General features: G+C 39.1%; 1 protein-coding gene across 9 annotated transcripts in view, besides 1 other annotated feature; it reads right to left on the bottom strand.

Moving 5' to 3' along the window:
- Positions 1-12,261, bottom strand: part of ARHGEF38 (Rho guanine nucleotide exchange factor 38) — a 129,947-nt gene that overhangs the window by 54,615 nt on the left and 63,071 nt on the right. The window lies entirely within an intron of this gene.
- Positions 3,198-3,387: an enhancer, noted in NCBI's record as "active region_21782". NCBI's record gives its function as "activates an Ori minimal core promoter by ATAC-STARR-seq in GM12878 lymphoblastoid cells {active_cell/tissue: GM12878}" and the evidence as "EXISTENCE:reporter gene assay evidence [ECO:0000049][PMID:35858748]".

Here is a 12,261-nt window from a genome sequence, read left to right as displayed (position 1 = left end):
AGTCATTTATTCCCCCAAAGGCCAAGTACAACACTGGCAGGCAGAATATTTTATTCCCCTCCCAGCCCTACCAATGTATTCTGCTTCATAATAGTGCAGATGAAGCAGTGTGTCTTGCAGCAAAAAGTGATTCTGTTTCCACGGTAACATAACTCTCGGCTGCATTTCTTTAGTGGTGAAGGACAACCGCTCTGTCTAATGTATGTGGGTTTGAGGGGATGATTAGGAGCAGAGGAGGGACTAAGCCAAGACCATTGAAGGTAATTTCACTTGTGGTTGCCTGTCACAAAGGCACCAGAATCCTGTAAAATAAATAAAACTAGTGTGCTCTTCTTTTTAAAAATTCTACAACCCAAGAATTTCTGCATTGGCATCCCCAAAAAGCAATCGCCATGCAAAGGAGAAAAAAAATGCACCCTTTTAAGTCCCCTTAGTTATCTTCATTAAAAATAACTTCCCAAAATATTGATATTATGTCTGGATACCATGACTCCTATGTTTCAATTTGTTCCCTTTACTGATGTGAATAAACATATGCTACTCTTTCTATTTCCATACTCTCACGTGCAGCCCCAACATGTGCCACACCAAACCAGGTGGCCTTTATAGTATTGTGATCCTGCTCCAAGATGAATTTCTCCTGCAGGTAAGTAAACAAGGGTAAAGTCAGTGATTTTCAAGGGATCTCCTTGTCCCGGGTTTTGTTTAGGAAAATGCCATAAAAGGGAAGAAGCAGTTGTGTTCCTTAGTTCATCCCTTTTTGAAAATTACTCGATGATCATCATGCACCAAACACTTTGGTAGGTACTGTAGATACAAAGAACCAACTCTTCCTTCAAGGAAATTATACAGGACACCAAGGGAGAGAGAGAAGACTGAACTTCCGTTTACCATACTATGTGAAAAGTAAATAAAGTACAGAGGGTTACCTATTCAGCCCTTGGGGAGCTTTGAGCAACACTCATAACAGTGTACTTTTGACATAGGACCTCTGAGTGAGTGCAAAAAGCAAGGAGATAGGTGTGGAGAGTAAGATCTGTTCAGAAACTTGGAATGATCTAGTGTGGCTGGATGGGACCATGTCTGTGAGGAAGTTCCAGAAGGGACTGTAGAGGTGTGCTGGGGCCAGATCATGAAGGGCCTTGTGCAACATTAAGGAGGTGAAACTTTCACCTGAAAGTGATGGTGAAGCACCGATGGATTTTTAGGTAACTGACCAGATTGTGTTTTAGAAAAGCTATTCTGGTAGTTATTCGTATGAAAGATGGAATTTCGGGGAGGAGTTGGTGAGATTGAAGAAGATAAACAAACTGAAAGTCTTCTATAATAATAAGGTAAATAAACAATGAGGGGCTAAAACAGAAAGTTATTGCAGTTAAGAGAGAGTGCACTGGAGTCGACTTCCTGGGTTCAAATTCTGGTTTTACCATTTACTCGATGTGTGACAGTTGGGAAAGTTACTTATCTGTTCCTTAATTTCCTCATCTGTAAAATGCAGATAATAATAGTAGGGTTGTTTGCAGATTAAATGAGTTAAAATATGTAATATATTTGCATCAGGGGCTGGCACATGCAAATGCTCAATAGATGTTAGCTATAACTAAAGCAAAGCAAAAGCAAGGAGGATGCAGAGGAAAGGAAAAAAATGGACATTGAACATGTGTGAGAGATGATTCCAGGCATATCCCAGAATTGTGGTTTAAGTGACCATGTGGGTGTAGACACTGATGGCATAACAGAGTTTAATGAGAAAGATGACGAGTTTAATTTCAGATGTATTGAGTTTGAGTTGCTTATTGTATATTCAAGCAGTGAAGCCCTTTAGGAAATTGGATATATTAATCTAGGATTTAAGAAAATAATATCTTGGACAAAGATGTAGGTTTGTAAAAATTGGGTAGTATAAGACATGAATTTATGTGGCCATGCGAGAGTGTTCACAGAGTGAGAAGAAAAGAGTGCCTGAGGACCAGATGGTGGCAAACACTAACATTGAGGATGGTATAGAAGAAAAAGAGACTGCAGAGAAGCCTGAGAAGGCATAGCCACAAAGAAGGATCAGCATGAGGAAGGACAAGAACAAAATAATGAGAAATACTGCCAAGATTGACTAAGTTGGTGGGGTGGGTGACAGAGCTTGCTAGCTGTCTCCCCATGGTCATAATCTGCTTCTAAAGAAATGGAAGTTTTGGCTGCCCCAAATCAAAATGACATTTCCCACCCTCCCATCCAATTGGTATGGCCATGTAATTAAAGCCCACAGTGGGATATAAATGAAAGTGTCCCATGACAATGTCCAGGAATTTTCCTGAAGAGGCAGCTGGCTCAGCCTTTACACTGTCTTCATCCTTGTCTCCATCTGCTACCTAGGATTTGGATACTATTAATACCTTTACCTTGTCCATGAAGATAACAGCCACCTCTTGGTGAGTGGAGCTGTGAGCTGGAAGGAGGTTGCATCCCAGAGCACCTTGTGGAGCAGAGCTGCCGTACAGCTCTAGAACACATCCCCTTCAGACTTTTACACATAGAGAAATCAACATCTGTCTTATTATGCTAGTAATGTTTTGTTTTTGTTTCTGTTTCTCCCAGCTGAACTTAATTCTAATCTACTCACTGTGTTTTGTTCTGTTTTCTCTTTGACAGGAAAATATTTTGGGAGAAATCCTGATGAGTTAAGGCCCCCTCTATACTACCCATTTTTACATTTCATTTAAAAATTATATGAAAATATGACATGAACTGTTAGTTATGGAGGATATAAAGTTGGATGTTGCTTGTATTAACAAGAAAAACTATGCAGTAAGTTCAATTCTAAAAACCAACTAAGATAATGTTTACAAAAATAATTTTAGTTAAAATCTCATGTATAAATTATGGCCTGAGATATATCCCAAAAGGAAGTTATCTGTGGTTCTAAATAAAACTTGTGGTCAAGGCAGAGTATTTAGAATACAGAGAAGGGGGTGTGATGAACAGAGGGTAGAGATGGCCCACTCTCTGGAAAGAAGGTCTGAGATCTGGGTGCAACAATACAGGCCTCTGACTGTCATTTCCCTGAGTGACACACACAGCTGAGCGAAAGCTCCATGGTATGCCATCTCCAGTGAAAGAGCTTTCCTGGCAGCTTTCACCCCAAGTTCAAGGGTTGCTCCCCGCGGTCTTCTTATCCTCCTTGGATGGGAGCCCAGCTGCCATGACTAAACAAGGCAGTAGATTCGCCAGCCCAAATGCCAGATCATCTGAATACTTTCTCCCTTTCTTTCCTAGCCTCATTCTGTTCTCCAAGGGAGCATAAAACAAGGAGAGGAAGTGAGAAGAAAGAAACTGAAAGAGTATATGCTGCTTAAAGAAGCCACACTCCCTTGCCTTCAGTCTCATTTAGCTTCCACCTAGCCTAGGGGATAAAACTGCTGCTGTGGATACCCAAGAGACCCTGGCTAGGGTTATAATATTCAAACCAAATACAGGCAGCAGGTGGGACATGCAGCCATGGGATTAAAACAAGTGTATCCCTTGAGTATCCATTTTATTAAGAAATTTGAAGAAAAAAACTCTGGTTTCCTAGAAGAGTAGACTGGAAAACTGACATGAATTCTTACGACAAAATAAGACTTCCAAATTATTTCACGCCTGTGGCTCTAGCTTCAGATCATAACTCCACACTTCCTGAGGCTTATGATATTTCTCTCTTGATATTGGGAATATTCTGGTAAAAATTTTTTTTCAGAAGCACTAGCGTAAGATAAGTTCAGAAAAAATATGTGTCCATTGGATTTGACAATTCTGAGGTCCCTGGTGATGCAGTAATAGCATTTTTAGAGGGTTGGGTTTAGGAGGGAATGAGAGATGAAGAAGAGGGACCAATGAAGGGAGCTGGACCCTAAAGAGAGAAACAGAGAAAGGAAAAGAGCAGAGTGGAGGATGGGAACCTGTCGTGATCATCTCTGTGTCCAGTGCCAGGGAAGACAATGTCATAATTGTGGTGGGGCTCTCAAAGAAGGGGCTGTTCTGAAGCTAAGGTGGCATCCACTCAGTACATCTGGCCATGGGAGGTGGCTAGCAGCTGAGCAGGACAAACTGGGGGGTGCTAGTGGGCTGTGGAGAGGGTCAATGTTTGGAGAGGAAAAAGCTCTGGCCTATATTTGGAAGAGCTAGAGTCCCTTCTGAGAGTGTCCAGAGTTACTAATATAAATTGGGCAAATCAGCTCTTACTGTTTTTGTCTCAGTAATGGAATAGATGCTCTTGAAATATTAGTCCAGTTCTAACATTTAAAAATACAGCTGCATATTTTGATGATAGCTCACGATGTCTTCCTGAACCTTGTTGACTTCTAGATACTTTAACTCCAGGTCAGGATTCTTTAACAACTGACATCTTAAGGCAACATTGGTTCTCTGAGAAAGTGAAAGTTTTGCTGGCTGGATCAGGAAAAGGTACATAACTTTTTTTTAATGTAAGGTTGACAACACTGAGGAAAACCCTGTCTTAGACCAATCCATGATTTTCCATTTAACTCACGTTAGTAAATACCTCTCTTGAGAAAGCTTGCCTCTGCTGTAGCTAGTTGCTCTATATTACTTAGCAATCTCTGGCAATGACATTGACTTTTGAAAGTGACATTTGACAATGACACTGACCACAGACAGACTCAGTGACGACAGTAACAACAATCACCTCCTGGACCCTCTGTGTGCCAGCCAATGCACTGCACGCTTACTATTATCTCTAATTTCATCCATTCAGCAAATAGTTATTAAAGACACTGTTCTGGGTGCTGGTGACACAACAGTCATAAAACAGACAAGAATTCCTTCCCTCATGGAGCGTACATTCTGGAGGGGTTATGCCCAGTGTTTGATATTTTCCTGCCATGGGAGTCTTGTTGTCCCCATTGAAAAGATGAACAAATGCATGTGGAATCCATTGCTATTTACTTATCTGTTCTTCCTTCTTCCAAAGGCATAGAATTTGGACTGGTAACACACCCAGTTAAAAATATTGACCTTTCCCCAAATCTCTGGTATTTAGATGGCCAAGTGTGTGTGCAAAGGTGTGTTTGTGTGTGTATGTATGTGAAATGAAATAACATGTGTGCAAAATAGAATGAGATATATGTAGAAGTCACTGGGAAAATGGTTATATTCCCCCAAAATGACAAAAGCCTTCTGAAGAGGTGATTTTGCTTCATTGTCTTTAGGAAGTGATGCCTGGAAATGGAGTAGCCATCTAAGGGATGATATCAAAAGCCACATGCTGAGCATTGTGAAGGGAAGAGGTTGAAGGAGCAGCAAGCAGTTGCACTAGTCCTGGACTTGTGAGTTACGGATTTCTTGTGACGTGAGAAAAATAAACCCCTTTTTGGTCAAACCCTGTTGGCCAGCTTTTTATTACAGGAAGGCAAACTGAATCCTCACTGGCTCAAGTGACTTGCTCACAGCCATCAAACTAGTGATGACAGCCAGGATTAAGACTTGGATCTGTTTCACTTCAAAGGCCATGCTCTTTCCAGGCTATTGGGCAACTTCAAGGTTTGTTACTCTTTCTATGTACTTCTCATTTTAGCTTCCTGGAGGCTGGGAAAGTGTTCAGGAACTCACAGACTCTTACATTCCTTCCTGGGATTTAGAAATGTATTTCTATGTGTATCCTGCGCAATATGTGACTTTTCGCAGGTCCATTCAAATCTGACCTCAACTCTCCAATACTCCTCCTGGCACAGCTAAGCCACTGACTTCCACTGGCAGGCTCCATCAGCATAGCATCCTAGAACTTACCATCCTCCTCAGAAATCAGAACTGTAAGACTTTTTACTAAGCCACCTTTATTTTATTTTTATTGTAAGAAATAAGTCCTAGCAGCACTGGGACCCATATTCACCCCGCTCAGGAGACTGGAAGTCCAACCCCCATGTTACAGCCTGGTACCTGCTTCCTGCTGATTTTTTCTTTCTTGTGAGGATTGGTGTATCCTTGATCCTGAAAATACCATTTCCCCATTGTCATTTTCTCCAAAGCGGACAGCTTTCCTATTACTTCTAACATTTGCATTCTGATCTTCCAACTGTTGCATCTGGGTGTCCCCCAAACCTCCGCACTGACCTCATACATTCAAGTATGCAGGTCTAGGACCCTCCCAACCAGTCCCAGTTGGCCAAAATTAACCAGGTCAAGCCTATTTGTGTCCTGAGTAAAACATGCACACACTTACACACAATAATAATCCTGAAAAATTCATTTAAGTGAGCTCCAATGTAGTATCTCCCACACAGCATTATGATATGAATTGTCAGCAACTAGTACTCTTCTCACAAACTCACTGCTAAAGGCACAGATTTCTACTTCAGGGACCTACAAGAAACATTGCTTTAGGAAAACAAAGCACTGCTATAGAACAACAGTGCATCACCTACTACACCTTCAAAGAACAGAAAGCTCTAAATTATTTCTCTCCAAGGAGAGAGTCACCCTCAGGAAAATGCATACAAGAAATTACAATTCCTTTATCAAAAGCTTCTTTCAGTCTGATTCTCAGCGCACTATGCATGAGGTAAGCCAGTAAAGTAGACTCAAGCATGTTCATGACAGTCTTGTTTTAATACTTTGAAACATTATAATATGCAAACACATATAAGAGGACTATTGCTATTGGGTTATTTATTGCTATGTAACAAACCATCCCAAAGCTTAGTATCTTGAAACAACAGCCATTTTTATTTTCTGTCACAATTTTGTAGATTGACTGGGCTCAACTCTGTGGTTCTTTTGCTACACTTGACATCCACTCAGGCTGAGTCATCCAAGGACTTATCTGGGTTTTAATGTCCGAGATGACTAATTTCACAAATCTAGTGCCTTGGCAGGAACAGCTGGGAGGCTGGCCTCTGCTGGGATTCTGGGATAGCTGTGCCACTTTCTCACTCTACATAGTCTCATCTGCTGTCTCTCTCCATGATACTTCCAGTAAGGTATCTCAACTTTTTAAATGGCAGGCTTCCAAAATTATGAAAGTAGAAATTGTCAGGCTTTTCTAAGGCTTGGGCCCAATTACTGATACAGTGTCATTTTCACCACATTGTAATAGTGAATCAGAGGGCCAGTCCAGAGTCAATATGACACTAGACTCATATAACAATGTGAACTAGGAGGCATGGTCCATTGAGGGCCATCTTTGGAGACTAATTACTGCCATTGCTGTTCACTCTACCAAATGTGAAAATGACACTTGATATGTTAAATCTCCCTTCACAGAAAAAAATATGTCACCATATTAGATCCATGAATCATTAAGATGCATAGATATTGGAAGCATCTAGAAATCACACACATCCAGCAAATCTGACTTGTTTGAAAAACATGATCAGGACCTCTAAGAAAAAGTCACATTTTATTCACTTGTTACATACAGAAAAAATCAGGCATTTTAAATAGATGAGTAAATCTAATATTCTTGGGATAATAATTTATAACATCATCTATTGGATATTAATTAGGGATAGGCACTGGGCTATCATTCTGTACACATAATTTTGTCAAATCTTCATAAAAACCATATGGGATAGGTACTATTGCCTCCAGTTTCCAGATAAGAAACTGAAGTTCAATTAGGTTTTGTAACTTGCCTAAGATCGCACATCTAGCAACAGGACAAAACGAGATGTAACCCAAGTCAACCTGATATTAAAACCCATGTGTTCTTAAACTCTACACTGCCATCTAAGTGGAAACAAGAGCCACATTTCATACTCCCATCTATAAAGATTGAAAACCCATTTCCTATCTAGACACTGTGCTTAAGTCAAGATTTTAAAATCCACTTTGTATCTTGGCATGACAGTACAGACAACTTCCTCAGAGCTCTCAGATCTGCAAGCATATGCCCCTGTGTTTAAACTTAAACCTTATCCAAACTCCAGTGTTATTATTGAGTAAAATTTTCTTCATAGTTTATCTAGGTATCAGGAAAATTCTCCCTTTGGCACTACAGCTGTGAATCACAAACTCTTATTTGTGCCATCTAAGGACAAAGAAATGGGACACCTGTGCTTTTCATTTGTGATAACATAATTTTGGAAACATCTCACCAACAATCAGTTTATCTTATGGAATGAAAGTGCTTTGGTAAAAGGTTTAGTAATGGAAATTGCCAGTGAACTCATTTTGGTCTGTCTACAACGTTTGGCTCAGAGAGGCCTTCTCGGCACTATGCTCCAGTCACATAGGGCTGCTGCTATCCTTTTTCAGAATTTCCTGTACTCTTGCTTTGAGGCCTTTACCCTATTTCTCATTTAGAAAGCCTTTTGCACCCAATCTCCACTTTTCTAAATCTTTCAAGTGCAAGCTCAAAAACCACTTCCAAATCAAGTTTTCCCTCACCATTTGAGTTGAAATAAGTTAGTCTCTCACCTGTTAATCTGTATTAGTTAGCAATTACCACAGGAAAAAAAAGAATCACTCCAAAACTTAAAAGCTTAAGACAATAACTGTTCGTTTGCTCACAATTGTATGGGTCAACAATTGGGCAGCATTTAACTGGCATTGATGGGGTTTACTTCTATGTTTCCCGTCAGTTGGTGGACTGGCTGGGGGCCAGCTGGCCAGCTGACAAGGACCTTACTCTCAAGCCTGAGGCCTTGGCTGTGTTGCTTTGAATGGCTGGGCAGTTTGGGCCTCTCCCCTCACAAGCAGAAGGCAGAAGTGATAATGCTGTTGTAGAACATCATTTTGCCTCATTTCATTGATCAAAGCAAGTCGCAAGGCCAGCCCAGATACAAAGGATAAGGATATTAAAATGAGACTCCAACTGATTCTTTTTCAAATATGGCCCCATTGTCTTAATTTTTTAAATAAAATTTTCTGTAATTTTCCTCAAAGTTGGAATTCTATGATTAGTGAATCTGAAAGTATGAACATCTTCAATTGAGTTTTCTCTGTAAATCATAGTTTTCAATTTTTCATTTTGAACTAATTTTTGATTTACAGAAAAGTTGAAAAAATAGTGCAAATAGTTTTCAAATACTCTTTACCCAGCTTCACCAATATTAACATCTTACATATCAAAATACGATTGTCAGAGAAGGAAAATTAACTCTAGATCTCTAGATAAAGGTGGCTGGCCTCTGCTAGGTTTCTCAATGTAAAGTTACCACCTTTCCCTTTGAGGTTAATAATTACTTGGGGAGAAAGTTTTGAGACTATGAAAAGTATATTTCTCCTCTAACTTTCACCCACTAAACATAGCATCAACCAGTAGATTTTGTCTGCAATAGTTGACTGTGGTGTTTATGTAATGTGAATTTGATTTTCTATTTTCTTCTTTTTTCTTTTTTTTGAGATGGAGTCTCGCTCTGTCACCCAGGCTGGAGTGCAGTGGCACGATCTCAGCTCACTGGAACTTCTACCTCCTGGGTTCAAGCGATTCTCCTGCCTCAGCCTCCTGAGTAGCTGGGACTACAGGTGCGTGCCACCACGCCCGGCTAATTTTTGCATTTTTAGTAGAGTAGGGTTTCACCATGTTGGTCAGGCTGGTCTCGTGATCCGCCCACATCAGCCTCCCAAAGTGCTGGGATTACAGGTGTGAGCCACCATGCCCAGCCGTTCTTCTTTCTCTATTTATTAATTAAAATCTGTAATGGACAGCTGTCCTTTCTCCACATTTATTTATATCAGCAAGAACTCATTGATATTTCTGTGGGTTATAATTCAATATCAGCATATTTATTTTACTACTGAAATTTGTAAACCATAATATTTAAAACTGAGAAAATACTTTATAAGCAAGGAAATATCTATTGAGCTCAGAGGAAATTATGGTAAATAGAAGCTTTACTCTCATTACTATACATATTAAAACAAGTAAATATTTGAGCTGAAATATTTTTATAGGCATTATCTTTTTGCTTCCATTTGAATTGTTTTCTTTCATTCTCTCTCTCTTTTTTTCAAAATAAAACTCACCAAGTAAGTTGTTTCTATTTGTAATTTTGGAATATTTTCCCAAATGTAGATTGTGAAATCTGGTACAGAATATTACTTTATCCTACTAAAGAGGAGCTCCATCAAAGGCTTCTCTTCATAAGTCAGATTTTCCAAAGCATGATTATGGACTTTCAAAATTAAATATTTTATACATGAGCTCTCATTGCTTATTTTTTTTAAACTTACTCCTTGTTTTCATAGGGATACATTTCAATGTCTTCCTATTTGCAATTTTGTTTTTAATAATTGTTATTTGTAAAGATTAAAAATTGAAGTTATTTTCTCCATTTGATGAATACCTTAACTAAAGACTTCCAACTGATTTTTAACAAAATGCAATTCAATTTCAGAGGCCTTGTTTACAAAAATAGTCCAATGCCATGTTAGGACACTCTGGTTGATTTGTAAAGTGGTGCTTCAAAGAATCAAACATTTCCAAAGACTGATTAATGACCAGCAGGAAAGAGAGTGTATAGTTTCATACATAAGATTATTTTTAATTCAATATCAAATTTATTCTTCAGGTAGTGTTATTCACTCTAATTTTGTGTATATAAAAATAAATGCAAATTTTCACTACAGTTTTTACTTCAATTAATAAATTCCACAACTTCATCATATATACACCAATCATTTTCAACTACACGTCTGCTCTATAGATTTTTATTTTAATAAAATCATTGTTTTACTATGATGCTGTGCTCCACTAATATTTGTATTTATGTTATCATTTGCAGTCACAATGTTTAATTTTTAAGTTAAAGTGACAGCATTTATAATAAGGTCAGACAATTCACCATTGACATGATAAACTTCTAAAAGCTTTTCTTTGGTTCTGTGAATTGAATTTTTAAAATTTTAACTGCTATTGAAACTATTATTCGATTCATCTGCTCACATTGATATAAAACTGTCATCATTTAACTGTTTGCAGTACTCTTTTGCTAACGGTGTCAACTCATTAGTAACCATTGTTTTATATTTCTCATAGGCCTAAGGAAACTCAGAATTAAAAAATGAATGTAATTAATCTAGGAAAACTGTTGTCTGACCTAAATGAGAAGCCATGCTGCATGCAGTGAAATGTAAACACACCTTAAGCAGCTGCATGCATTTAATCACTTGCTTAGAGCACAGTCTTTTAAAAATAATGACTAAACTTTGACATAGATGTTGCCGCTGCTTCAGCATATTTCCATCTTCTGATTGTCTATGGTCAATGATAGCATTGAGGACCCTTTGATGGATGGTATTTTGTGTGTTATAGGCTCAGCAACTTTCTTGAGATAAAGAAAATCAAAATTTTTCTAAAACATTGATATGGTTTGGCTCTGTGTCCCCCCTGCCAAGTCTCATCTTGAATTGTAATCCCCAGGTGATGGGGGAGGGGCCTGGTGGGAGGTGATTGAATCATGGGGGTGGACTTTCCCCTTGCTGTTCTTGTGATAGTGAGTGAGTTCTCATGAGATCTGGTTGTTTGAAAGTGCATCGCACTTCCCCCTTGGCGTGCTCTCTCTCTCCTGCCACAGTGTGGAGAAGGTCTTTGCTTCCCCTTTGTCTTCTGCCATGATTGTAAGTTTCCTGAGGCCTCCCAGGCTTGCTTCCTGTTAAGCCTGAAGAACTGTGAGTCAATTAAACCTCTTTTCTTCATAAATTACCCAGTCTCAGGTAGTTCTTTATAGCAGTGTGAAAACTGACTAATACAAACATGAATATATTAAATTCTTGCTTCTGAAAAGGTTTATTTCAGAATGAAACATAACCAAAAAATTTGTAAAAGAGTTGTCAATCTATAACATGCAATAGGTAACCAAATTACCATAGCAAGAGCCTCTAGACACTCTGTAGCATGATTTCTCAGGCCCTATTTTCCATACATATTTTATTTACATCTATTCTGTAAAAACGTGTCCCATTAACCCCACTGACTGGCATCCCGATGGCTTCATGCCTCTCATAGGTCATGACATGGGCCACCCAGCATGGGTCATGACACAACTAGCTGCTACACCCAGTAGATGGCGGGGTCTGCAGCATCCAACACATCCACAACCACCAGGACAGAAAGGAGTTAGCAGTTTCTAGCTGTTCATATCCAAACAGCATCATTTAATCAGCCACTTCCCTGCATGTGGCAATTCAAAGAAAGATAGAACTTTCCTTGAGACTAGAAAAGGTTGGCATACGAGAGATGGACTATGTTTCAGAGTTTACCATGTGTTACAGTGAGAACCGTTAACTGCACATTACACTCTACTAAAAGAGATTGTGTCAGAAGTTGAA

Source organism: Homo sapiens, chromosome 4 (assembly GCF_000001405.40).
Source record: "Homo sapiens chromosome 4, GRCh38.p14 Primary Assembly".
Lineage (NCBI taxonomy): Eukaryota > Metazoa > Chordata > Mammalia > Primates > Hominidae > Homo > Homo sapiens.
Note: the sequence above shows the minus strand (reverse complement) of the source record. Positions and strands in the feature narration are given on the sequence as shown.